General features: G+C 39.5%; 3 protein-coding genes and 1 long non-coding RNA gene across 27 annotated transcripts in view, besides 3 other annotated features; 1 reads left to right on the top strand and 3 right to left on the bottom strand.

Moving 5' to 3' along the window:
* The window catches only part of ANKAR (ankyrin and armadillo repeat containing), an 88390-nt gene extending 75145 nt beyond the window's left edge, over nucleotides 1-13245 (bottom strand). For 20 of the 22 annotated variants that reach the window (XR_922865.3, XR_001738640.2, XM_011510676.3 and 17 more), the window contains exons 1-2: nucleotides 13085-13245; nucleotides 10824-11459 (exon numbers count right to left, since the gene is read on the bottom strand). Coding sequence is in view for 20 of the 22 variants with exons in the window: in XM_011510676.3 (XP_011508978.1) it covers nucleotides 10824-11424 (601 nt within the window). In the remaining 2 variants the exon portion in view is untranslated. Of the gene's footprint in view, nucleotides 1-10823; nucleotides 11460-11877; nucleotides 11931-13084 lie in introns of those variants that run through there. The other 2 variants (XM_011510685.3, NM_144708.3) reach the window with 2 other exon arrangements.
* Nucleotides 12860-13119: an enhancer, noted in NCBI's record as "active region_16852". NCBI's record gives its function as "activates an Ori minimal core promoter by ATAC-STARR-seq in GM12878 lymphoblastoid cells {active_cell/tissue: GM12878}" and the evidence as "EXISTENCE:reporter gene assay evidence [ECO:0000049][PMID:35858748]".
* Nucleotides 13170-13589: a silencer, noted in NCBI's record as "silent region_12172". NCBI's record gives its function as "represses an Ori minimal core promoter by ATAC-STARR-seq in GM12878 lymphoblastoid cells {active_cell/tissue: GM12878}" and the evidence as "EXISTENCE:reporter gene assay evidence [ECO:0000049][PMID:35858748]".
* Nucleotides 13630-14795, top strand: LOC105373793 (uncharacterized). The gene is made up of 2 exons (XR_923692.3): nucleotides 13630-14084; nucleotides 14522-14795. It is a non-coding gene; the product is annotated as an uncharacterized LOC105373793 (long non-coding RNA).
* A 2288-nt stretch (nucleotides 14796-17083) lies between these two features.
* Nucleotides 17084-26456, bottom strand: ASNSD1 (asparagine synthetase domain containing 1). 2 transcript variants are annotated; one of them, NM_019048.4, is made up of 6 exons: nucleotides 26305-26456; nucleotides 23961-24014; nucleotides 22464-22539; nucleotides 20319-21874; nucleotides 19970-20151; nucleotides 17084-17474 (listed from the first exon to the last, which is right to left on the bottom strand). In NM_019048.4, the coding sequence occupies exons 4-6, from the start codon at nucleotides 21780-21782 to the stop codon at nucleotides 17189-17191; spliced, it is 1932 nt and encodes a 643-aa protein (NP_061921.2). In that variant the 5' UTR covers nucleotides 21783-21874; nucleotides 22464-22539; nucleotides 23961-24014; nucleotides 26305-26456; the 3' UTR covers nucleotides 17084-17188. The 2 variants fall into 2 exon arrangements, with proteins under 2 accessions (NP_061921.2, NP_001340426.1); NM_001353497.2 differs by lacking the exon at nucleotides 23961-24014.
* ASDURF (ASNSD1 upstream open reading frame) lies at nucleotides 21514-26456 on the bottom strand. 2 transcript variants are annotated; one of them, NM_001353493.2, is made up of 4 exons: nucleotides 26305-26456; nucleotides 23961-24014; nucleotides 22464-22539; nucleotides 21514-21874 (listed from the first exon to the last, which is right to left on the bottom strand). In NM_001353493.2, exons 1-4 carry the CDS (start codon nucleotides 26392-26394, stop codon nucleotides 21804-21806), a joined length of 291 nt encoding a protein of 96 aa, NP_001340422.1. In that variant the 5' UTR covers nucleotides 26395-26456; the 3' UTR covers nucleotides 21514-21803. The 2 variants fall into 2 exon arrangements, with proteins under 2 accessions (NP_001340422.1, NP_001340423.1); NM_001353494.2 differs by having other exon boundaries at nucleotides 22464-22493.
* Nucleotides 26209-26398: an enhancer, noted in NCBI's record as "active region_16851". NCBI's record gives its function as "activates an Ori minimal core promoter by ATAC-STARR-seq in GM12878 lymphoblastoid cells {active_cell/tissue: GM12878}" and the evidence as "EXISTENCE:reporter gene assay evidence [ECO:0000049][PMID:35858748]".

Here is a 28000-nt window from a genome sequence, read left to right as displayed (position 1 = left end):
AGACAACCCACAGAATGGGAGAAAATATTTGCAAACTATCTATCCAACAAGGGCTTAATAACCAGACTATATAAGGAGGTCAAACAATTCTACAGGAAAAAATTCTAATCTGATTTAAAAATAGGCAAAAGATCTGAATAGACTTTTCTCAAAAGGAGACATACACATGTCAAACAGGCATACGAAAAGGTGTTCAACATCTCTGATCATCAGAGAAATGCAAATCAAAACTATAATAAGATATCATCTTACCCCAGTTAAAATGGCCTTTATCCAAATGACAGGCAAAAATGAATGCTGGCAGGATGTGGAGAAAAGGGAACCCTAGTACACTGTTGGTGGGAATGTAAACTAGTACAGCCACTATGGAGAACAGTTTGGAGGTTTCTCAAAAAACTAAAAATATAGCTACCGTATGATACAGCAATCCCACTGCTGGGTATAAATGCAAAAGAAAGGAAATCGGAATATCAAAGGGTATCTGCACTCCCACGTTTGTGGCAGCACTGTTCGTAATAATCAAGATTTGGAAGCAACCTAAGTGTCCATCAACAGATGAATGGATAAAGAAAAAGTGGTACATATACACAATGGAGTACTATTCAGCCATGAGATTCCGTCATTTGCAACAACTTTGATGAAACTGGAGGACATTATGTTAAATGAAATAAGCCATGCACAGAAAGACAAACTTTGCATATTCTCACTTATTTGTGGGAACTAAAAATTAAAACAATTGACCTCATGGAAATAGAGATGGTTACCAGAAGCTGGGAAAGGTGGCAGGGAATGGTGGGGCAGGAGGGAAGTGGGGATAATTAATGGATACAAAAATATAGTTAGATAGAATGAATAAGATCTAGTATTTGACAACACAACAAGGTGACTACAGTCAATAATTTATTGTACATTTAAAAACACTAAAAGAGTATAATTGGATTGTCTGTAACACAAAGAAAGGATAAATTTGTGAGGTGAAGGATACTCCATTTACCCTGATGTGATTATTAGGCATTGTATGCCGTGTGAAAATATCTCATAAATATATATACCTGCTATGTACCCACAAAATTTAAAATAATTCAAAAAAAGAAAGAGTCTCGTTTCCAAATTTATAAATCTCATGATTCTTAAGTTAACAATGCCAATAAAATTGTGTAAGATAAAAGCAGACAGATGAGTAGGTTACTAAGGAAAGTGAATACAGATACAATATAAGTCCCAGCTTTGATCAAGGAAAATATGAAACAACAAGAAAACGTGATTTTTCTTTAACCAGGGTATCAGCTTCTCACTTGGGCCAAAAGCATAGTTTGTTTTTTCAGGCTAGTACTATAAATTTCTTTTTTTTTGCCAATAAGAAGCTAGACATGCATAATAAACAAAGAAACTGCCAGCTAAGTAATCATCATTTAATAAATAAGAATTAAAACTTGATTTTACTCTATCAAAAAATGACAAATTTCCCGTGCTACATTTTCTTGCCATTTACAAAGAAATTGAGGACTTTCTTCTTGTCAAATAGTCTTTTTAAGATAGTTATATCTACAATGTTACCCTTAATTTAGGCTTGAGAAAACTGCTTGTAGTCGTAAGACATGACTGTAGAAAATGTGGCATTTGTTTGTAATATATATGCTCTAAAGTGTAAATGATATGTCAATGTATCCCCTCCTTTCTTTTTCTTTTTTCTTTCTCAAATCTTTTTTTTAAAAAGGCCAGAATACTCTTGGGTTTTTAAAATGGCCACTATAATTCATCTCTTTTCTGCAAAATAGTTAGATAAATTACAAAGAAATGAAAGGGATTCTGGCAGTTTAAAGAAGTCTAAAAAGCCAGAGGGATTGTTGATAGCACTAAAACCTCATGGCTTGGGGTGGCTGGGAGCCAACAAAAACCACAAGAAGCCTTAGAGACTGAAAGCATTATGTGGAGGCTGTGAAGGACAGGCCATGGTGCAAGAATTTTTTTAAAAGAAAAGGTGTAGTGAGATCCCTAGATCATCTTCCCCAGATAGCACAGCCCTTCTCCTCTTCCTCACTAAAAGGGTACAAAGCACAGCTGAGGGTTGGGAGGAGCAGTTGTGCTGAAAACTAGTTAAATGAGAGTCTGAGTGCTGAACCAAGATATCCACAGTTCAGCACTTCCCCTCCTTTGGCCCCTGACTCACAGCCCTCCCTCCAAGCAGGATACTGGAGGAAACACACCTGCAGATACAACATCTGGGGGACAGGCTTCCCAGTGGAATGTCAGGGGTTCCTGCTCATCACTCTACAGTGAAGTCTGCCAGCGTTCCTGCCTCACTCCTAAATGAAAACAAGCAGCAAGGATCGCCAGGCAGGTGAGGAGAGCCTCTCAGATGAAAGAAGCACTGGAATTACTGGGCCAGGGGCAGGGAGGGGTGCTAAAGGAAGGTGAAGTGGGCTTAAAGCAATGAGTTCTGACAAAAGGAAGAGGATGAAGTTATCAAGAGAGACATCTCTAAGGAAAAAATGGAACTTCATATCCCATTTTTTTATCAAGAAGAATTCAATATTTCCCTTTGAAAGACTGGAACTGAATTAGTAGTAAGTACATGGAGAAGTTAGCTACTGGAAAAAAAAACCACGATTGTTCATATCATGAAAAATAATGTTCCCTGAATCAAGGACCAGAAGCAAAAAAAAAAGAAAAAGAAAGTTATTAAAGAAAGGAAATGTCCCAGCCGGGACAACATTCTACAAAAAATAAAAAACAAAAAAATTAGCTGGGCATGGTGGCAAGTTCCTGTAGTCCCAGTTACTCAGGAGGCTGAGGCAGGAAGATCACTTGAGCCCAGGAGTCTGAGGCTGCAATGAGCTGAGATCATGCCACTGCATTCAAGCCTGGGTGACAGAGTAAGAGCTTGTCCCTTTAAAAAAAAAATTCAGAAAACAAAGTGCACATTATGTAAATTAGCTGGAAGGAATATGTACAGTCATAGGAAAGTAAATAATAAAAAAGAATTTAATAAAAAATTGGATCAAATGAAATTTGGAGGATGAGGGGAATGAGGGGAAACAAAAGTTTCCACAGCTTTAACCTCTATTTTTTTTTTTTTTTTTTTGAGACAGGGTCTCTGTCACCCAGGCTGGAGTGTAGTGGTATGATCTTGGCTCACGGCAGCAGCCTCAACCTCCTGGGCTCAAGTGATCTTCCCACCTCAGCCTCCCGAGCATCTGGGACTACAGGCGTGCACCACCATGCCTGGCTAATTTTTGTATATTTTGTAGAGCCTGGTCTCGAACTCCTGAGCTAAAGCGAACCACCTACCTCGGCCTCCTCAAGTGTTAGAATTACAAGTGTGAGCCACTGTGCCCAACCAATTCCCTTATATTCTATTATTACCCATTTAATTTCTATATGTATTGAAAGTTTACTATAAGTCATGCACTGTATAAGGTGCTGAGAATTTAAAATCAAACCAAAAAAGACACAATTTTCTGTGCTCTCAAGAATGAGCTTAATGTCTAATAAGGAAGAAAGAAATGAAGCCAATAATTTCAATTCAAAATACAAAGTATTTTTCTGTGCACAGATAAAAGAGTCCAAATAGAGTAGGCAGTATCTGAATCAAGTCTCAAAAAATGAGTAGCAATAACCCTAGGAAGAAAGTGGACAGTGGTGTGGGGTGAACAGGAAGAAGGCATTCCAGATAGAGGACAGGGAATGAACAGAGAAAAAAACAACCCAACTCACATTACTCGCTTGTGATAATAAATAAGTTCCCATTTTTTCTCAATATTTCTATTAAAAGTTCCCTTCTCCTATTTTGCTATCATGAGATGTTTTCTTCTTTCCTTCCATCCTCCTAGCCTTCTGGAAAGAGTCTAAGAATTTATGAATTAGATGAAGGGATCCACCCTAACTAAAATGCCTGCTGAGAAAACTGGGTAACATGGCCAGATTTTTGGTGTGCTCTATTCTCTACTATTGCTACTGTTTTTAAAGAATGATGTTGCTGGTGGTTTGTAGAGTGCAAAGCTATGTGAGAGATAAAGGTTAACTTGGCCAAGACGGATTCCCAGCAGTCTGCCCTCTGAAAAAGAGTTGGCTTTCTGCACAATTCCTTGGAAATCCACTGTAGCACAGTGTTTAAGGTAATCACATGGTCAGTTGCAAGGTGTGAACACAGTTTCCCAGTCATGCCAACAGAGGAGCTGCTGTTTTCCCAAACGTGAATGGTGATATAACAACTTACACTGCTGCTAGCTTGACACCATGTACCTGCAATTACAAAGCTTGGACACCAGCTCTCTGATCATGCCAGGGGAGAGGTGGTACACTCCCTCAATCTCTAACACTAAGCTTGGAAGAAAGGGCTGCAGCCAAGTTTCCATGAGTCACACTGTGTATCAGACACCTTTTGTTCCCTACCTCACATCCTTTCAGACCACATTTTTAAACTGTAGTTTTTGCTCCACACAGACTTGACCTGACTGTACCTTGCCTCAAGTGCACCACAGGATTATTTTTGCCCTGAGGCTTCTCTGCCACTGCTGTTAGACTCCTGATGGAACCCATCCAGCCATTCTGGTGTAGGAACAAATCTGAAAGCATGAGCGAGTTAACCCTCCATTCAAACTTCGGCTAATGAGAGACAGCAGCCAGCGGATACACTTTTCCCTCATCTATCCTGTCTTAATCATTTAGAGCTACTGTAAGAAAAAAGCACAGACTGGGTAGCTTATAAAGAATAGAAAATTATTTCTCACAGCTGTAAAGGCTGGGATATCCAAGATCAAGTTAGATGTGGTGTCTGATGAGGACCCATTCCCTGGTTCATAGACGGTACCTTCTTGCTGTATCCGTACAGGGTGGGAGGGACAAGGCAGCTCTCTGGGGCCTCTTTTATAAGGGCATTAATCCCATTCATGAGGGGTCTGCCTTTATGAACTAATCACCCTCCAATGGTCCCATGTCCTAATGCCATTGGTGATTAGGTTTCAACATTTGAATTTTGGGGAGACATAAACATTCAGACCATAGCACATCCCTTAGGCTGGCAATTCTGCAGTGTATTCTATATGACTCCTCAGAGTGTCCCAGCAAAATAAATCCCAATTGCCCAAGTGGTGAAAAAGCTCGACAGCACATTCTTGGGTTGATGCTCCCTCCTTTTCTATTCACTTTTCCTGTCCCTCACTCCTGTTCCTTGGAATCATTTCTCAAAAACTAACTTGACTCACGTCCTTGTTTCTGATGCAATTTGGAGTGTAACCTAGGCTAAAACATCTTGCTATTGTATCCTGTCCTCTGACCTGATGCTTCTTTAATCATGTAGCATAAAAGCCCTGTAGCCCAATGGTTCAGGTCCCTTTCTTAGAGTCTGACCATTGGCCCTGTAGGATTTCACAGTGGTGCTCCAGGTGTGGTGCATGATGGGGAAACCTGTGCCTATTCCTGCTACTGCCACCGTGAGATTCCCCCTATAAACTACTTCAGTAGGTCTAGTATGTATGCTGGTGGTCATTTACCACTGCTTGCACCACACATTGTTGAAGTTTCTGAAGCAGACACCCAATGTGCAGTGGAGAGAGAAAAAAATATTTCTACTAGGTGTAATGCTCATCTTTTTTTCTTTTTTTTTTCCTAAAAGATGGGGGTCTCACTATGTTTCCCAGGCTGCAGAGTGGTGGTTATTCACAGGTGCAAACATAATACACTACAGCCTCAAACTCTTGGCCTCAAGTAATTCTCCTGCCTCAGCCTCCTGAGTAGCTGGGAATAAAGATACATTCCACCATGCATGGTTTTGATGCTCATCTTTGATTGGCCAGGAGCCAACAGTATTAAGCACTCTATTGTAAACACACCCAGCACTATCCCCAGGCACATGATAGTAGAGTGACTGGATTTGTTAAGGTTCCCAGCCTCATTTAAGAACAATTTTTAAAAGGTTTGAGGCAGAGAGCAGTCAGAATGCTGTTGCAGTGGAAAAGGGTGTTCTGTACTACAGTGTTGCAGTAGAGATAAGCCAAAGTAGATGATTTTGAGAGATATTTTAAAAGTAGAATCACAAAACTCAAGACATAAGTTTCATATCAGGAAAGCACTGATATTTAGCTAATATGCAACAATAACACCACATTGTTAAAATACTGAACCCTCAATTGGCAAACTGAATTGCTGCAGCCCCAAGCTCATTGAATACCTCCCTCCCCAGGGATCACCTGAAAAGCTCCATGATCCAGAAAAGGGTAAATATGACAAGCAGGAGGTCTCTGAGACCCTGCTCCAGCATTATGGCTGACGTCCATTCTGATTGCTCAGTGCCAATACTGTGCTGGTGGTTAAGTGTTTTGAGTATCAACCCTGAAAATGTAGGTGTAGAAAGCAGACAGCATTAGTCCTTTGGTGCTCTCTGTTTCCACCTACAACTTGATTAGAATGTTCCTATGTGTCTCTGATCCCCTTACCAGGTGCACCATTGCAAGGGAATCCTCATAGAGGGTGGCAACCTCAGATATGACACACAGATGGGTGAAATAGACCAGATCCTGGGCCATGAAGTGGCTTGATGTAACTAACTTTGTCATCAAGTAAGCAAGAGCCCTCTTCCCTTAGTTACACAACAGGACATGTGCTCCTTCCTGCCATGATCAGGTCTCTACTGGTGCTCTAACTGGATGATCCAAAGGCTCTCGTGGCTTTAACATGTGGATGATTAATCAATATGTATCTAACCTTTATCACTTTCTAGAATTTGACTTCTATACTGAAAGTTTCCATCTAGATATCTGGATCTAAAAAGAGCTTGTTGTTTCTTTACCAGTTTGGCATATGCCCATTCAGAATGATGGCTCATCAGTCCCACGTCCTCTCAAATGAGAGCCTCAGGTAAATTTGTAAAAAGGGAAACAAAAGTAAACACAATTTCGTCAGAATGTCAAGGCTCTACCGCTGTTGGAAACTACCAAGCACTCTTGCTGATCCTTAACCTCCGTGGACCTCAGATCTTCACAAAGCTCTTGGCATCACCTTGATCCAGATAAATTACCTTTAAATTTAAAAAATGGCTTAACATTCTCCAAGATAGATCATATGATAGGTCACAAAACAAGTCTCAATTAATTTAAGAAAATCAAAATTATATCAAGTATCCTCTCAGACCACAGTGGAATAAACTGGAAATTAACTCCAAAAGGAACCCGCAAAACTATATAAACACACGGAAATGAAATAATCTGCTCCAGAATGATCTTTGGGTCAACAATGAAATCAAGATGGAAATTTAAAAATCTTTGAACCAAACGATAATAGTGATATCAAAACCTCTGGGATTACAGCAAAAGTGGAGCTAAGAGGAAAGTTCATAGCAGTAAATGCCTACATTAAAAAGTCTGAAAGAACACAAATAGACAATCTAAGGTCACACCTCAAGGAACTAGAGAAACAGGAACAAACCAAACCCAAACCAAGCAGAAGAAAAGAAATAACAAAGATTAGAGCAGAACTAAATGAAATTGAAAGAAGAAAACAATGTGAAAGATAAATGAAACAAAAAGCTGGTTTTTTGAAAAGATAAAATTGATTCACCATTAACTAGATTAACCAAGAAAAGAGAGAGAAGATCCAAATAAGCTCAACTAGAAATGAAACAGGAGTCATTATAACCGATACCACAAAATACAAAAGATCATTCAAGGTTACTATAAACACCTTTATGTGCACAAACTAGAAAATCTAGAGGAGATGGATAAATTCCTGGAAATATACAACCCTCCTAGATTAAATAGGAAGAAACAGAAACTCTGAACAGACCAATAACAAGTAGAGAGCTTGAAACAATAAAAAATTGCCAACAACAAAAAAGTCCAGGACCAGATGGATTCACAGCTGCATTCTATCAGACATTCAAAGAAGAACTGGTATCAGTCTTACTGAAACTATTCCAAAAGATAAAGAGGGAATTCTCCCTACATTATTCTATGAAGCCAGTATCACCCTAATATCCAAACCAGGAAAGGACATAACAAAAAAAGAAAACTACAGACCAATATCCATGATGAACATGGATGCAAAAATCCTCAAGAAAATACTAACGGAATCTGACAGCATATCAGAAAGATAATACGCCATGATCAAGTGGGTTTCGTGCCAGGGATGAAGGGATGGTTTAACATATGCAAGTCAATATATGTGATACATCATACAGACAGAATCAAAAACAAAAATCATCTCAATAGATGCAGAAAAAGCATTTGACAAAATCCAGCATTGCTTTATGATTAAAACCCTCAACGAAATGGCCATAGAAGGGACATACCTTAAGGTAATAAAAGTCCTCTATAACAAACCCACAGCCAACATTATACTGAACAGGAAAACACTGAAAGCACTTCCCCTAAGAACTGGAACAAGACAAGGATACCCACTCTCACCACTTCTATTCAACATAGTACTGGAAGTCCTAGCCAGAGGAATCAGACAAGAGAAATAAATAACAGACATCCAATTTGGTAAAGAGGAAGTCAAACTGTGGCTTTTTGCCAATGATAAGATCATATGCCTAGAAAACCCTAAGGATTCATCTAAAAACCTCTTAGATGCCATAAAGGAATTTAGTAAAGTTTCAGCATACAAAATCAATGAACACAAATCAGTAGCACTGCTATACACCAACAACAAACAAGATGAGACTCAAATCAAGAACTCAATCCCTTTTACAACAGCTGCAAAAAACAAAATTAAATAAAGTTAAATAAAATAACATAACATAAAATAAAATACTTAGGAATATACCTAATCAAGGAGGTGAATAATTTTTACAAGGAAAACTACAAAACACTGCTGAAAGAAATCATTGATGACACAAACAAATGAAAACACATCCCATGCTCATGGATGGGTAGAATCAATATTGTGAAAATGACCATACTGCCAAAAGCAATCTACAGATTCAATGCAATTCTCATAGAAATACTATCATCATTCCTCACAGAACTAGAAAAAATAATCTTAAATGTCATATAGAACCAAAATGAGCCCACATAGCTAAAGCAAGACTAAGCAAAAAGAACAAATCTGGAGGCATCACATTATCTGACTTCAAACTATACTACAAGGCTATAGTTAACAAAACAGCATGGTACTGGTATAAAAATAGGCACAGAGACCAATGGAACAGAATAGAGAACGCGGAAATAAAACCAAGTACTTATGGGCAACTGATCTTTGACAAAGCAAACACAAATGTAAAGTGGGGAAAGGGCACCCTTATTCAACAAATGGTGCTGGGATAATTGGCAAGCCACATGAAACTGGATCCTCATCTCTCACCTTATATAAAAATCAACTCGAGATGGATCGAGAACTAAATCTAAGACCAGAAACCATAAAAATTGTAGAAGATAACTCGGACAAACCCTTCTAGACATTGGCTTAGGCAAACAGTTCATGACCAAGAACCCAAAAGCAAATGCAACAAAAACAAACATAAATAGATGTGACCTAATTAAACTAAAAAGCTTCTAAACAGCAAAAGAAACAATCAGTAAACAGACAACCCACAGAGTAGGAGAAAATATTTGCAAATTATGCTTCCAACAAAGGACTAATATCCGGAATCTACCAGGAACTCAAACAAATTAGCAAGAAAAAAACAAACAATCCCATCAAAAAGTGGGCAAAAGCCATGAATAGACAATTTTCAAATGAAGATATACAAAAGGCCAACAAACATATGAAAAATGCTCAACATCACTAATTATCAGAGAAATGCAAATCAAACCACACTGAGATACCATCTTACTCCCGCAAGAATGGCCATAATTTAAAAATAAAAAAATAATACATGTCGGCATGGATGTGGTGAAAAGGGAATACTTACACTGCTGGTGGGATTGTAATGTAAACTAGCACAACCACTATGGAAAACAGTATAGAGATTCTTTAAAGAACTAAATGTAGAACTACCATTTGATCCAGCAATCCCACTACCAGGTATCTACCCAGAGGAAAAGAAGTCACTATATGAAAAAGACACTTGCACATGCATGTTTATAGCAGCACAATTCACAATTGCAAAAACATGGAACCAGTCTAAAGGCCCATCAACCAATGAGTAGATAAAGAATACGTGGTGGCCAGGTGCAGTGGCACATGTCTGTAATCCTAGCACTCTAGGAAGTCAAGATGGGATGATCATATGAGGCCAGGGGTTCGAGGCCAGCCTGTTCAACACAGGGAGACCCCATCTCCAAAAAAGAAAAAAAAAAAAAGAAAGAAAGAAAATATATATACCATGAAATACTACTCAGCCATAAAAATGAATTAAATAATGGCATTCACAGAAACATGGATGGGGTTGGAGACCATTATTCTAAGTGAAGTAACTCAGGAATGGCAAGCCAAATATTTTATGTTCTCCCTTATAAGTGGGAGCTAAGCTATGAGGACGCAAAGGCATAAGAATGATATAATGGACTTTGGGGATTCTAGAGGAAAGGTAGGAAGAAAATGAGGGATAAAAGACTACACATGGGGTACAGTGTACACTGCTCAGGTGATGGGTGCACCAAAATCTCAGAAATCACCACTAAAGAACTTAGCCATGTAACCAAAAACCACCTGTTCCCCCAAAAACTATCGAAATAAAATTTAAAAATTTTAAAAATGGCATTGAATAAAAATAATTAAGAAGTGGCCAGGTGCAGCGGCTCATGCCTGTAATCCTAGCACTTTGGGAGGCCTAGGTGGGTGAATGGCTTGAGCTCAGGGGTTCGTGACCACCCTGGGTGACGTAGTAAGACTCTGTTCCAAAAAAAAAAAAAAAAAATTTAAGAAGTGTTAAATTCTCTTACCTGCTGAACTAAACTCTGAAAAAATGTCTTTATTTGTTTGAGGTTTTCCATCAGGATCAATGTCCATGATGGCACGCCACAATTCAGAGAATCTAGCTCGTTTTTCTTTGGGCATATATATTCCATGCCATAGTGCTTTCAGCATGTAGTCAATATTGATCAGAATTTGCCCAATTCTGGTATCATAATAAGCTGGAGGTAATTGACAAGAAGAACTCTGATCATAATTAGCTTCTAAACTGATGGAAGGGATTTGATTTAGGCAATAAATTCCAATAGCCAACTCTCTTATCATTTGATGGACCTCTCTATAGTCTAAGAGGGCAGTAGGGTCCACGGGAGTCAGTAGGATTGCAGTGGAGAAGCCTACGTTATTCATTTGACTCATAATTCCACATGGGAGGTCTACTTGAGAGCGCACATCCTCTTTGGCAGACAACCAGCTAACTAGTGCAGTAGTTAGTAACTCTTGTATTTCACTCCGATCATATTTTTCAAAAAAAGCAGATGCATTTCTTTGTATTGCTAAATTTTCCAGGTAGGTGTCTTCATCCTGAACTTGCTCAAATCTAGGTAATCCTTTTTTGGGCAATCTTAACATTTCTAATTAAATCTAGTGTGTCCTTTTTGAAGCTTCTGCAATGAATAAGAAGGAAAAGATTATCAATAAAATCTGACATGCCAATGAAACTGGATTTGTCTAGAAATAAATCTGTACCTTTCACCTACATAAGATTAATTTTTCATGGTCAACCATTATAGTTTTCAAATTAAAAATAACTGCAGTATATGAAAACTGAAATTTGAATTAAAATAATTAAAATTATAAAACCTTTATCATTAACCATGTTCTGCTTTTCAAAGAATTCAAAAGACAAGAAGATGTATGTCAAAAAGAAACGTTAAGTTTATCTGTGAGAAGCTACTGTTACATACCTATTTTGTTGTTGGAGAGGCATTCTTTTGTATATGTTCGTGTTAGTCTGTTTGTGTTGCTATAAAGGAATACCTGAGACTGCATAATTTATAAAGAAAAGAGGTTTATTTGGCTCACAATTCTGCAGGCTGTACAAGCATGGCACCAGCATCTGCTCAGCTTCTTGTGAGACCAAGCTTACAATCATGGCGGAAGGGGAAGGGGAGCCAGTGTGTCACATGGTAAGAGACGGAACAATAGAGAGAAAGGGGAGGTGTCTACTCTTAAACAACCAGATCTTTCATGAGCTCAGAGGTAGAGTTCACTCTGCCAGGAAAGCACCAAGCCATTCATGAGGGATCCACCCCCATAATCCAAACACCTCGCACCAAGCCCTACCTCCAACATTGGGGAATCTATTTTAACATGAGATTTGGAGGGGATAAATATCCAAATCATATGGATATTTATTTTGTTTTCAGTTTTTTAAAGCAAGACTATACTGACCTGCATGAAAGAAAAGAAAAGGGTGGGGCGCAGTGGCTCATGCGTGTAATCCCAGCACTTTGGGAGGCCAAGTCGGGCAGATCAACTGATGTCAGGAGTTCGAGAACAGCCTGACAAACATGGAGAAACTCCGTCTCTACTAAAAATACAAAATTAGCCAAACGTGGTCGTACATGCCTGTAATCTCAGCTACTCGCGGGGCTTGAGACAGGAGGCTGAACCCAGGAGGCGGAGGTTGCGGTGGCCTGGGCAACAAGTGTGAAAAACACTGTTTCAAAAAAAGAAAAAAAAAAGAAAAAGAAAAGGAAAGAAGCATTTGCTTAACCTTCAATTTCTGTGCCAATGAATGCCTGTCTATTCCTGAAATAATAATAACCACAACTACTATTTATTGAGCCAGGTTCTTTACTATATAATGGTTTGATTTATTTCATCTGATTGGTCTCTATTATATAGTGGTTCTCAAAATTTAGCTTGTATCAAAATCACCTGGGGCTTGTTCAAATACAAATCGCTGAATCCCACCACTGAGTTTCTGATTCAATGAGCTGTAGTGGGGCCAGAAAATATGCGTTTTAGTAAAGTTACAGGAAATGCTGATAGTGCTGGTTTGGGCGCCACACCTGAGACCCCAGGTCAGTGAGTCAGACCTTGTTATGCCCACTTTATAGAGGCAAAAACGGAGACCAGGAGGTTGCAGGACAAGTCTGAGGTTTTACGCCTTTCAGAAACAGAACCCACGTCTGTCCAGTCAAGCCCGGGACCCACGTCCAAAAGCAGCTCGCGTCAGCCATGGGCACGGGAAAGGGGAAAAAACAAGGAAAGGGGAGGAACCTACTCTAGAATGGCTGTTTTCTTGTCCGGGAGAGGGACGCTGCGTCCGCGGCGTTCCCGTGGGGCTGAGAACAGTCGTCGCCGCCTCAGATGGCTTCTCGCGGGGCCTTGAATCCGCCCTCAGGGCCTCCGCAAGGGCGAGCGGGAGGCGCACCGGAAGGAACTGAGAGGAACTTTCAGGGCTTTTCGCCCCACCGTGGCGGCCCGGCCCTCCTCGCCTCGCCGGCCAACACTGCCGCCGCCCGGGCGCGGGTCGAAGCGGTTGGTCCTCCGGGCCCTGGGGTGGCTGGGCTGCTCCTCGGGCGGAGCCTGCGGGCGACTAGGCCTGGTGCGTCCCGCAGCAGCCGCAGCGCCCCCAGGCGGCGCCCGGCCCCTTGGCTGGCTCAGACCCCCCGCGTGCGCATCATCCCAAGCCCGCTTAGCGCTTAGTCCAGCGGCATGCCGTGGGCACTGTGCCGCCCTCACTATCTGCCTCTGCTAAAACACCGAAACAGAGTAGCAGAGGAGACAGCGCCGGGCGTTGAGGCAGTCCCGAGTTGGAATACCACCTCCATCATCATTCTTTCATTCAACAAGCATTTATGGAACACCTATTATGAGTCAGGCACCCAGCTACAAGCTGGAAACCCTAGAAAACAGGGCAGACACGAAACCCCAAGGAGCTTACAGTTGAACAGATCATCTCACAGCTATATTTAACAGTGTGCCAATATTAGATGGAATGACAGCACTCGAATGAAAGCTAACCTAGCCCAGGGCTAGGAAAGGCTGCCTAAGGAAGTGCCCTTTTCCCCTCCGAGCCTAGAAGATGGAAAAGAGCTACCCAAGCAAAGGACTGGACAAGTAGCTTTTCAGGAACAGGGAACAGCAGGAGAGAAAGAATTGAAGTGAGAACAAAGTTGAAATGGTTGAGAAACCGCAAAACCCTGCTTAGAGAACAAGAGAGATGTGGGCACAAACCGAGCTGCTGAGGTGCGCGATGGACAGATCATGCAGGCTGCTGAGTAATGATTTTGAATTTCATCCCAAAGGATTAGCCTACAGTAGTGGCAGTGGAGGTGGGGCTCAGGGACTGTGGACAGATTTGAAAAATAATGAGGTTGCCTGTTGGTGACAGATTGGGGATATGTTGAAAAAGAAGGTTGTGTCCAAGTCAGAACCACATTTCTGTCAGGAGCAACAGGATATCAGGGCAAGATTAAGAGTTCAGTTATGTACTAATTGACCTTGAAGTACCTGTGAGAGAAATTGAGATGTGAGATATGCTTTAGATAAACAGTTCTGGGCTAAGAATGGCAGTAGGGGTTAGATGTATAAATTTTGGCAGATTTATAGTAATTGAAGCCAGGAGTGGGGTTGAAATCACCAAGGGAGAGCGTGCAGAATGAGGAGTTGAGAACCAAGGATTAGAGACCTGAGAAATTTAACATTTAAACGTCAGGTAGAGAGAGTGAAGTCAGCAAAGAAGACAAAAAGAACAGCCAAGAAGGCAGGAGGAAAACCAAAATTGGTCACAGAAGCCAAAGAAGTGTGTGGAAAAAAAAAAAGGAATGGCCAACTTTATCGGATGCTGCTGCTCGGTCAGGGGAGATGAGAACAAACTTCCACTGAATGCAGCAGCTTGGAAGTTCTTGGTGACTGTTTGGGGCAGAATTTCTCTTCCAGTAACCATGTCATTATTTTAGCTACTATGGAAATAAATATTAATAAATTTATGAGGACTATTCCAGGGCTTTTTTTTTTACAAAGATTTGCATGTTTGCACTTAAGAAATATGAACCATATATGTACATTCTCCTACTTCAAGGATTGTTTCCCCCTGGGTAGCCAAATGGTTTGTTCCATGTGTCTCAAATCTTCGGAAAGAGATGCCTCATTTTTTAAAGGATCAACACAGAACTCCATCCCAGAGCTAATGGGATTGAATAGCAGAAGGTTGTAAATGCCCAGGCCCTCTTGGGGTTCACACACATGCATGTGTATCCTCTCTCTGTCTCTCTCAGTATTCTGGTGGAGCAGATGACCTGGAAATTCCTTATAAAAGTTTGACTGATTAATACATTTAAATCTCATAGAGTAGAGTAGCACCTGGAATATAGCATTATGTAAGTTATAGCTATTTTCAGTATTAAACTGTATTGGTGTTATAATATTCAATTCTAGGCCGTGGGGCAAACCTCTTAAGTTCATCTACTCCCAATATAAGCAATGTCAATTTAGTGCTCAGGCCCACACAGACACTTGAAGTTGTCTGCTTTCAGATTGAGGGATGAAAGCTATGTAGGCAGTATCTAAATTTTGGTTGAACATTGCATCTTCCAGGGAATAAATTCGGGGCATGTGAAAGCCTTTGCCAGGTTACTGACCTGTTTGTCCGGATCCTAAAATTTATTTGCTACTGTGATTAAAGAATCAAAGGGTGGCCAGATCCAGAAATGGTGTCGATCCTAATGGACAGATTTCACAGTGACACTGGTATGGCAGTTAACAGTTGAGTAATGTGGGTGGATGTCAGGTTGGAGTAAATAGACAAAAAGGTGGAGAGAGTGACTGTGGATGAGAGGCAAGACATAGTAAGTAGAGGAAGACGTAATTATTCTTGTCTTCAGGTTGAGTAGGCTGAGGAGGAGAAGGGGCTGTCTCGGGGTGGCAGAGGCAGAAAATCCACATATAAGTGGAACTGCACAGTTCAAATGTGTTGTTCAGGGGTCAACTGTAGTCTTTAAAAGTTACTGGGGTGGGAAAATGAGCTGCCTAAAAAGATGTAATAGAAGTAACAAGTACTGTTCAGGAGGATGAACCTCAAGCAAATTGTTTAGCTTCTTTAAACCTGTAGTTCTTTTATCCATGAAACAGGACCCTGTCTAAACCATGGTCCCTGAAGAGAGGGAACTGAATCATTTCTGGATGGAGTGATCAAAGAGAGTGAGTCTGGGAAAACAAACTGTTTCTCTTCACTCTCACACAACACTTCTGACACCAGATGTGTGGATTTTTTCCACCAGATGTGTGGAGAATTACCAAGCAATTCTCCAGCTCTCTGAATACCAGCTGGGTATCCTACAGTTTAATCCTGCCTCTATCTACCTGGAGTGAGTGTCAGATCCTTCCATTTAAGGGCTCAGTGCCATAAGGTGTCTCTGCTTTAGATGGCAATTTCAAGTCTGGATCTCTGGTACTTCTGATTGACCAGCTACATAAACTGGGGGTTTTCATGACCCCCTATTCAGGTTCGATAATTTGCTAGAATGGCTCACAGCACTCATAGAAATACTTATGTTTACTGGCTTATTATATAGGATACATCTCAGGCACAGCCAAATTGAAGAGATGCATAAGGCAAAGTATTAAAAAAAATTAAGATGAGAGGGAGCTTCCTTGTCCTCTCTGGGCATACCACACTCCCAGCACCTCCACATGTTCAGCAAACCAGAGGCTCATCAAATCTTGTTCAAGAGTTTTTATAAAGTTTAATAGACCTTAATTTTCAGCACCACTCTCCCTCCCAGAGGTTGGTGGGTGGGGATGAAATTCCAACTCTTCTAATCACTTGATTTTTATTTTTGTTTTTATTTTTATTTTTAGAGACAGGGTCTCACTGTCGCCCAGGCTGGAGTGCAGTGGTATGATCCTAGCCTCACTGCAGCTTCAACTTCCTGGGCTCAAGTGATCCTCCCACCTCAGACTCTTGAGTAGGGAGGCACATGCTTCCATGCCCAGCTAATTTTCTGTACTTTTTTTTTTTTTTTGGTAGAGATGAGGTTTCATCATGTTGCCCAGGCTGTTCTCAAACTCCTGGACTCAAGAGATCCCTCTGCCTTGGCCTCCCAAGCTGCAGGTGTTAAAGGCTATTTAGAGACCTCACCCTAAGTCAACGCATTAGCATAAACTCAGGTGTGATCAAAAGGGGCTTATTATGAACAACAAAAGATATTCCCTATCACTAAGGAAATTCCATGGTTTTAGAAGCTCTGTGACAGGAAAAAATGAAAATTCAACCAAATGAACTTTAAAACTACTATGTTATACAATAGTAAAGCAGCAGAGTATCTTACTTTTATATAATTATATAAAAACTTATTTTTATATTGTTACATTGTGAATCACATTACAATTTAGTCTCCTTTTCAATAGAAAGATTTTCTAAGGACATGATTTGGAGCCGTCCACATTTATCAGATGCCTTTTCATTAATTTTTTCCATTTTTGCAATTCTTGATCCAAACTGCATGGCCCGTTTGGGCAGAAGAGCAGAGGCTGTAAGACCAAGTTCCACAGCTGCAAGGCGTAAAAGTAATTTTTCACCAATTCCTCGGGGTAAAGTCAAGTTTGCTTTTTCCCAAATCGGCAGAGAATTTAGAAAGGAGACAACATTTTCATCCAGGAAAGGAAATCTAAAATAGACAGATAATATAACCACTATGTAAAAATAAAATCAACCTGCTTTGATTTATACACAGTTTTATAGCTAAAATTTAACCAAATTGTTTCACAACATGACTAATTTTAATACATATACTACAAAATAGTCTAAATCTCAATAAATAAATTAGGTTTATTGTGTCCAGAAATAATTTCAAATTGTTTTACAAGGTATCTTTGTGGAGGCCTTGAAAACAAACATGATTTTTTTTTTTTTTTTTTGCCTAGGTGAGCACTACCGCACCCAGCTAATCTTTGTATTTGTTGGTAGAGATGAGATTTCGCCACATTGCCCAGGCTGGTCTCGGACTCCTGAACTCAAGTGACCCACCTGCTTTGGCCTCCCAAAGTGCTGGGAATACAGGAGTGAGCCACCGCACCTAGCCTACGAGCATGATCTTAACTAACTATTCAATCTGTGTCTGATCTTTATCAGGTCTAAAGAAATGACACTTTAGGGATATGGAACCAATATAGAAGGGCTCCACAGTCCTGAACCTGCAAAACACTTATGGTAAAATTTTGTTACTCAAAATTGTTTAATTATACTTAAACCAATTAAATGGTGATAAATTACTGTAACAGAACAAAATATTAGATTTTTTTCCCCTAAATTCTGGGATGACCTAGAAACAAAATATTCGATTAAAAAAAAACTTTCTGCCCTTTTCCTTCCCCAATTTCTAGAAAATTATGTTCTTTTTCTGTTTAAAATACTTTAACACCCACCATCCCACATCTCAAAATGCAATACAGTTACACTAGTGTTTCCGTTTTATTACATCCTATTCTAGGTTAAGAGATTGGAAAGGACAAAGACATTTGTTATCTGGAATATTACATAAAAATGAATGAGTTGCAAAAGCAAATTTAACTAGAGAATCAAATCAACACACTACTGTTAATATGTATGTCAAGATACGTAATAAATTATTTAGATCTAGCCACTATATTTGTTATATCACAATTCTGTATTAGCTGCTTTAAACATTCTTCATATGCATTTTTATTTGAGCATAATATAATACTTTCATAAGTAAGGGCTTTTACTAGACAAATTCCTTTCTCTATGACCTAGCTGAAATAACAGACTGAATTTCTACCTCTCTCATGTCCTTCAAAGAGAAAACAGTTTAACAGTTTACGGACTTTATTATGGCATTAGTTATCAGTTTATAGTGAAATCTTGAAAATTATGACAGAATAATGACATAGTAGCTAAACTTTTACATGGGCTAGGACCAGAAACTTAAGAAAGACAACTGTGTAAAGGCAACTACAAGTCAGTGGAAAGAGGAAAAGACTGAAGTAGAGACAAGAAACAATGAAGTCAAAGAGAGAGAGAGAGAGAGGGAGAGAAAGTGTAGTATGTTTAATTCTCATGAAGCTTACTTGGACTTCCTATTCTTGGATGCTTGCACCCTTGTAATAAACTACCACTTAATCAATTAGCCTACTTGAATGAATTTTTGCTCTTTATAACTAAATGTCACATCTTCCTTTATCCTTACTTAATGTTTTAGAAAGTTTTATTCAAATACTGTACTTGTTCACTACCTTCAGAAATATGATATAGGTAAAAATAAACCTGAAAAGCAAGAATACATACATGAAAGTGCCTTGGTTTCTTTGAAGGTTTTAGGTAATCTGCAATATGTAACTAAATTGTGTTCAAAAAACGTGGCAGAGGAATATCCAGTGTAAGGACTACCTTCAAATCAGCATGGATCTGTACATACAGAAATGTCTATAGAGACAAAGCCAGTTTCTATAACACTGGAGAAGGCTTGCAGGTGGGGCTTATGCCCTTACTGGGAGGAAAGCAAACATTAAAAGCTGAACAAAACCCTCTAAATACCTTCTCTTAGTATTTCACTATCTCAGTTTTACTCTGTTTTTTTGTGGAAACAGAGTCTCGCACTGTCTCCCAGGCTGGAGTGCGGTGGCGCGATCTGGGCTCACTGCAACCTCCACCTCCTGGGTTCAGCCATTCTCAGCCTCCCGAGTAGCTGGAACTACAGGCATGCAGCACCATGATCAGCTAATTTTTTTGTATTTTTAGTAGAAGTGGGGTTTCATCATGTTTACCAGGCTGGTCTTGAACTCCTGTCCTCAGGTGATCCACCCGCCTTGGCCTCCCAAAGTGCTAGGAAGACAGGTGTGAGCCACCATGCCTGGCCTACTTTGACAGTATTTTTCACTATAGTCTTAAAAACAATCCTGTCATTATGTTACCTTTGAAAATTACTGAAAAGACATTTCTTAGAGAATGAGTTCTAGAAAATAAATGCTCTCCTGGCTCTTCCCAGCTCTGTTTCTGACTTTGTTTATAATACAAAGCCAAGCTATTATTGCTGCTCTTATTCATGTGAACAGTCTCCAAAGAGAAAACAAACTTTAAAGTCTCCATTTACACTCTGCTGTTTTTATAAAAATACCGTAAGAACACTCAAATGATTAGAATTACCTTGCTTCTTTTCCATGATCACCAATAACTCTGTCATCACGACCAAGATTTCTAGAAGAAATTCGACCCAGTTCCATCATTATTTCCTTATTCAATCCTTCCAGCCCATGCGACTGAAAGCGGACACGATGACGAGAATAACCTGCAAGTTGCTCATCTGCACCAATTCCAGTGAGAACTACCTATGAGGTTTAAAGAAATCCGTATAAAAATGTTATCAACTACACAGTAAAGAAAATAAGATAAATGCACCTAAAATATGCTATATTCTTACAATCAAAATGCTAAAAGCTTTAAGGGTCAAAAATAGGTCTCAGGAATTCTCAGGAGAAGAAACACTGTGTCATACCTTTGCATTGCTCTGATAGGATTTCACTCCTTCCTGGGCCACTAACCAACCAATTCCTCTAGAAGCAAACCAGACTGCACAGCCAATGCTATCATCCAAAACTGTATCCAATGGCCGAATTAAGTGACATATTCGAGTTCTTCTTAATTTCTGCAGTTCTTCCATAGAAACATTAATTTCAACAAAATTCCAAATTCGGGAAGGGCTAACAGCTTGTAGTTCCTTTAGTCCCGCCCTTCCTGTGATTCGATCTGGTACACTGACATGTTTATTAGGACTGTCAGCAGCAGCAGCAGCAACATCTTTAGAGAATTCTTCTGAAGGTATTTCACATTTATTTTTCTGTTTATTCCCTTCTCTGTTAAAGGTAGTTGGCATGGTCTTTTCTTCAGCTATGAAAGCTACATTAAGAAGATCAATTGGTTCATCTAAAGGAATATGACGGTCAGCAAGGGTTGCAATAACCATGGAATCAATGCCCCCAGAAAACAGGATTGCAACATTTGCTTTCCTATCACACGTTTTCAAAACTTCATTTGCTGTCAGGTTTTCATCCCTAGGTAAACACAAGACACGTTTCTTGACTGCTACACTCAGGACATCAATGAACTGCTGAATTACTTCCTTCATGTGTACATCAGTAAGAAAGACTTGAAGTATCTCTCTTGTAGGTGGCACATTGGAAATATTACTGCAATGAGTCTCCAATGCAGCTTGTGGCAACATCATATTTAAAGGAACAACAGGTTTTTCAAGATACAGTTTGGCTTCATTTGCTACCACTGATACAAATGCTGGTAAGTCTGCTGAAATTTGACTCAGGCTATTAACATTTTCTTCAATAATATTCTCCCTAGAAATATATTTCCAAGGATACAGTTGTAAAATAATGCATCCGGAAATGACAGTAGACTTAAGATCAATTCTGAAAAGTCCAGATGCTGGAACTTCTTGCCACTGATTTGCCAATCCAGATGTTTGGGTGCCAACTGAAGAGAGGCAGAAACTCTTGCCCAAATTACTAAAATGCCAAAGCAAGCTACGGCGACCAAAAAAATCCCTACCAAACCATAAATAATGACTAGATGCTTGATAATATATAAATGACCAGGGACCTTGTACTTCTGAGAAGAGTGACAAAATCTCAGATTCATTCTTACAGGAGGAAAGATAATTAAACAAAATTTGAGTGTCATTCTCTTCAGCTTCAACCTTTATTCCACTAAAAATTTCTCCATTCCATAGAAACACATTGCCTCTTTCATCTTCCACAGGCTGGGTAGTCAAAACACCCCTCAAGTGTAGGACGTGAGCAGAAAATAAACACTGGTAGTTAACATCAGACTTTAACAATTGTTTACTACTATTGGGTCCCCGCTGTTTAAGATTATATAGTAAGTCCTCTTTTAAATCTTGACTGAAATGCTCAGCAGAAAAGTTTACAGAACAACAAATGCCACACATTGTTATGTGAAATCAGGTTGACTATTTCTTGATTTTGGTCTTGTCTAAGTTTTCTATTTCTTGGTATTCTTTTTTCAGTTCATCCAATATATCTGTTGCAGGGAAGGAGAATAAATATTAAATAACATAAAAATTCTTGGACTTTTACCTAGCAATTCAGAGGGCAACACAAGCTGTTTACCAAAATCAAACCATATAAACACACACACTGTGCCAGTACCAATGATAATTAACAACAGGCTACTAATAAAGAATGTTTATCTTTTAGAAAAATAGCTTCTGTTTTGCCGAGTGCTGATTTTGGCCCAAGCACTTGGCTAAGCACTTTTAACATAGCATCTTATTTAGATCCCACAATACCTTGGAGGCTTAAAGTATTTCACCCAAAGTCACAAAGGTAGAAAGTGGTAATGGTTTGTCATACTTAGACCTGTTTAAAATTCTAAAGCACATGTTAATAACTATTGCTTTCTAAAACATTTATAATATATATATATATATATATATATATATATATATATATATATATATATACACATATATATATAACTGTTGACTCATCTTCGGAAGCCTAATTTGAAGAAAATCAAACTGCTGCATTAATCTTTAGATATATATTTTAACACTCAGATGAGTATAATTTAGGCACCCCCCAAAAACCCCAAAAAAGAAAAAACTTACTCTTGCTCTCAGACAGCATTTCTGTTCGGTCTGCAAGAAAGAATATATTGCTGTTCTGTTGTTGCCTATATACTTTCTGGAAAACATAATTTAGGCTAATATCAAATTTTGATCTAAAAAGTAGATATTAAAATCCTTAAACCCTATTATCACTAATTCTTGAAAATCTATTCAGTACAATACTTTAGCAAATACAGACAAGCAAAAAGACAAATAAAAGTCACCCACTGCCCAACTACCAGAAATTGCTACTACTGAAATGAAACTATTTTCTCTCCATTTTAACAAAAAAGGTTCTTACTGTACCTGCAGATTTATGCTTTTATCAATGAGCAATATATTGAGAATACTTTTTCTTATCAGTAAGTGTTCTTTTACAAGAACACCAAAATGCCAAAGCAAGCTATGGTGACCAAATTATACCTACTGCTATATAGATATAATATATTACAGTTTATTTGCTCAGCTTCAAATACTAGACATTTAAGGTGTTACCATCTCTTTGCTATTGTAAATCAAGGTTGTGATGATTATCTTTGTAACTAAATCTTTGTGCACTACCATGATTCTCTCCTAAGTATCAACTACTATAAATGGAACTGCTGGGTCAAAGTGTTATAGTTTTGAATTGTTGAGACTTTTTGCCAATTTGCCCTCTAGAGAAAGTCTGTATTAATTCTGCCTCAACTTCTTTTTTTTTTTTTTGAGAAGGAGTCCTGCTCTGTAGCCTAGGCTGGAGTGCAGTGGTGTGCTCAGCTCACTGCAACCTCTGCCTCCCAGGTTCAAGCGATTCTTGTGCCTCGGCCTCCTGAGTAGCTGGGATTACAGGCACACGCCTGGCTAATTTTTGTATGTGCCTCAACTTCTAATATTCCATAAGTGACAATATCAGAAATATCTAACCAGCCAGTTATTACATAATCTTTACAAAGCTTTTAAGAGCTCAAACTCATTTCTTCCTGAATGTTAAAATGCAATTTGACACTATAACCATACACAAAGCAGTAGCTTACTTGTTTGTAACATATTAATGGAAATGGCATTAAATAACCATGTTACACATTTAGGAAAATCTATGTAAAAATTTTTTGGAGGGAGGGGAAGCAATGTATCCTTTTTTGTTCAATAATTATCCACATTCATTTAAAAGAAAAGTTTCTTCTCATCTCAATATAAAGTTCGTTTATATCAAAAGAAAACATCAAATTCAGGTATAAAACATCATTAGTGATTATAGCTCCAAGATACCAAAATACAACTAGTATCATTTGTTGCAAAGGCAATGTGAATGGCATATGATAGAAAAAAGACATCTTCAGCTATGAGATCTATCCATTTAAAAAAAGAATCTAGACACTTGCAATTTTAAAAGATGCTGAAATACTATACATTTTATTAAAGTATGATTAAATCTTATATATACTTCTTATAACTTTAATATATAGTTAACATAAATAAACCTCCCACATATTATTCAGAATTCCTATAATAACTCACCCTATTCTTCTTAAGGTTAGAAAGTTCATCCACCACAATTTTTTGTTCTTTAATCTATTGAAATAAAGAAAAACTCCTTAAGTCAGATGTTTTCAAAGTATGCTCAATGAAAATCCCTTAAGGGGTTGTTTTAAAATTAGAGATGGGATAAGGGGCTATGATGTACTGGTTTTCCAAACGGGCAGTTTGTGAATATACAGATCATTTTCAACAGGAGTCTCTGTGTGGGGGTACAGTTCAGGAAAAGCTGGAGGAGAAAAAACAGTGATTAGACTTGCAAAATGTTAGGTAACCCATTAAGACCAGACAGGGATTTTCGTGTTCATAACCAGCAATCATGCCAAGGACTACAGTTACTAAACAAGGTTTATACCTTTTGTTAAAAATATATGATATACACCAGGCCGGGTGCGGTGGCTCATGCCTGTAATCCCAGCACTTCGGGAGGCCAAGGCGGGCGGATCACCTGAAGTCGGGAGTTCGAGACCAGCCTGACCAACATGCAGACACCCCATCTCTACTAAAAATACAAAATTAGCCAAGCGTAGTGGCACATGCCTGTAATCCCAGCTATTCGGGAGGCTGAGGCAGGAGAACTGCTTGAACCCGGGAGGCGGAGGCTGCAGTGAGCCAAGATTGCACCACTGCACTCTAGCCTGGGCAACAAGAGTGAAACTCCGTCTCAAAAAAATAAATAAATAAATAATTTAAAAAATATATATATATGATATACACCAAAAGGAATTAAGTTGTGATTTAGATTGAAAATTAAGTTGTGATTTAGATTTAAAAAAAAGCAAATTGAATGAGGGGTGGGTTACTTTTTTCAATATTTTCATGATTTTATGTACTAAGTGCTGCAGTCAAACATTCAAATCAAGCAATGCCCTATTTGGGGACAGTAAGACCTATCATGTTCCATCTTGGTATTTTTCCCTCTTTTTATCTCAATGACTAGCATAGAGCTGGCACTGTTGAACTGGGCTTTTTTTTTTTTTTTTTTTTTGAAACAGGGTCTTGCTCTGTTACCCAGGCTGGAGTGCAGTGGTGCGATCACGGCTCACTGCAGCTTTGATCTTCCCGGGCTCAGGCGATTCTCACACCTTAGCCTCCGAGTAGCTGGGACTACAGGCCTGGGCCACCATGCTGGCCTGGGCTTCATTTATTTGTAGGGGAGGGCTCAACTAAGTGAAAACTAAGTTTCTTTTTAACTCTATTTATTTTGTGAACATGACTGATTACATAGTATCACAAGAGCCTCTAAAAGCAGCTTTTATCATATTTGTGCTACCTCACACACACCTCAGGGATCTGTAACCACCAGTATGCGTAAGTGGCTTGCTATGGTGGTAATCAGAATGGGCTGTGTGTCTTTTGAAAATTCACCCCCAATCCCCATGAATGTGCACCTTTCTGTCTCCCCCGTTGGCAGAGCTGTAGTAATGAGGTTGAATTCCAAGGCCAAATTTGTAAACATTCTTTGAGACTTAACATTTATACAGGGCTTTCCCATTTTAGGAATGACAGGTGTACATTTCACTTTACTTCAAAGAAGGTAACTGATACAGAAAGATTAAAGAGACTTGCCCAAGATGTCATTGTAAGTTTGGGACAGAACCAAAGTAGAATCTAGGACATGTAATACCTGAAGGGCTATAACCCTCGCCACCCCCATTTATCTTTAAAGGTTGTTTGTTTATGGCAGTTAAGGCTTATATTATATTGGCTTCCTCTCTCCCCCAGTTTGGTATGAGTGACAACCCAATGCGTGTTTTAGGACCATTGCTCTGGTTAACGGAGAAGCAGCAGCTAACAGGTGGATGAGGAGAGACCGCTTAGGAAGGCCTTGCCGGGGGCAGGGGTCCCGATAGCAGATGACGGTGGCTTATTTGGGGTGGTAAGAGTGTTCACGGTGATAAAGGGACATATTTGAAATGAGCTTCAAAGGTAGAACTGATAGGCTTCCATGATGGGGGTCAAGGATGGACCCCGGGTTGCTGGCATGGTTAACTGGATGGAGAATATCTTTGATGGAACAGATTTGGGGTGGGCGGTATTTCCAAAAGTTTAAAAAGACTAGGGAGGAAAACACCCAACCAAAACTCCGCCCCACTGTCACCTGGGTCCAGTCTCGGGACAAATTTCAAGATCTCCCTTTTCGCAACTGTTTTCAGAAAATAAAAGGACTAACTGTGGCTGTCAAGTGCTATGAATAAAAAGAGCAAAGTAGCAGGGCAAAGCCGAGGCCCAGGCAGGCCCCACGCTGCCCGCTGCGGACCACCTTCAGGGTCCAGTGGCGCCCGGTCCCGAGTCCAGGAGCCTTTTCGTCGCGTCTCACACTCACCTTGCTGCTTAGATCCTCCTTGTGTGGGGTCGAATTGTCGGTGGGGATCAGCACAGAGCTGTCCTCTGGTCGCGTCCCTCGGCTGGGCATTTCCACCGAGCGCAAGACACGCGGGATGGCTCAGCCCTGAAGGAGCCTACGGCATTAGCCACAGCGCATGCGCGCTTCCAGCCGCGCTCACCCTTTCTTTTCCCGCGAGTCTTACCAATAGCGTCTGCGCGCTCACTTGAACGCATGCGCAGGCCGGGTCTGGCCTGGGGAGGAGTTTCGCGCCTGCGCATGGCTGCTTAGGGAGCGAGTAAACAGTCTGGTTGCAAAATCTGAGGTTCCTGTACTGGCCTCTTGTGGTTGAGATGCAGAAACGCTCAGGTGGTTTCTTCATGACCTCTTATCTAGTATACTACGAGTTCTGTGCGCCCTCCAGTGGTAAATATGAAGAATAGTCGTGCAATAGAAACAGCGCTTAATATGATATTTATTATCTAGGGAAAGATGAAGCTAAGGAACAGATTTAAGAGATACCGTGTTGGCAAAAGAACTGTACAGACTTGGTAAAGTTTTGGTTAACTCGTGGTTAGGGTTGCCGGATAAAATACAGTATGAACTTCAGATGAATTAATAGTTTTTTAGTGCATCTATGTCCCGTGCAATATTTGCAATATCTCATTTCTGTGGAAAAAATGACTAAAACTTGGAAATAGGCAAAAGAGATTTATTTACTGGATGCTCTTTCAGTGCTGCTCTGGACTTGACTTTATTATATTGACTGGGCTGTTTTACAATTCTGTAGGGGCAAAGGTTAACTTTGGTAGAGATTTTGGTTTGGTAGAGATGCAAATAATTTTTTGTTGTACCAGATACCAACACAGGTTATGATTTATTGTTCTGCAACACATTAGTCAGTTTTGTATCTAACCCTGCATTCTGTCCTAACATTTCTTTATTAACATATGCCTAGCTTCTCTAATATTCTGTATTGGTTTTAAAGTCATCGGTTCCCTCACTAACCAATGAGTTGAATAAAAGTTTGACATGTATATATTTTATGTTCACATTAGAGACATGATTTTAGGTTTTTGATAATTATACTATATTATTGGAAATCTTAAGTTTCCACAGAGATGCCCAACTGGATTTATGTGATGAATCAAACTATCTGGCGAAAGAAATGTATACATCATGGGTTGTTTAAGGCCAGGCATGTTTTTTATTTGCTCTTACAGAAAACCCAAGTGGTTATATATTTTTCCTTTATAATTGATTTTTAAAGATTGTGTTTTCATTTCTGATTTGTACATTCCTGATAAGTTATTCAGGTATAACTTATACATTACTGATACATTGATAGCAGCAATGATTGGGAGTTTGGTTTTGTGGTCTAACCATTTGGTGGTATCTGTTGGATGATGGACGTCTAGTCTCATTGGTAGAGAGGTAGATAGGTGCAGTGGCTCAAACCTGTAATCGCAACCACTCGGGGCTGAGGTGGGAGGATTACTTGAGGCCAGGGGTTCAAATAAATAAATAAGAGAGGTGACAGAGAAGCGAGTTTGTAAGTCTTTTTGTTTATTGTTTGTGAGCTCAAATTAATTAATTACTTTTGTGTCCACTGAGAGGGAAGGAGGACAGCTATTTGAGATGTGGGCTAGTAAGGTTTTGTTTGTTTGTTTTAACATAAAGGCCGCTCAAGCAGAAG

Source organism: Homo sapiens, chromosome 2 (assembly GCF_000001405.40).
Source record: "Homo sapiens chromosome 2, GRCh38.p14 Primary Assembly".
In the NCBI taxonomy this organism is placed as follows: domain Eukaryota; kingdom Metazoa; phylum Chordata; class Mammalia; order Primates; family Hominidae; genus Homo; species Homo sapiens.
The sequence above is the reverse complement of the archived record's forward strand: the minus strand, read 5'-3'. Positions and strand labels throughout refer to the sequence as shown.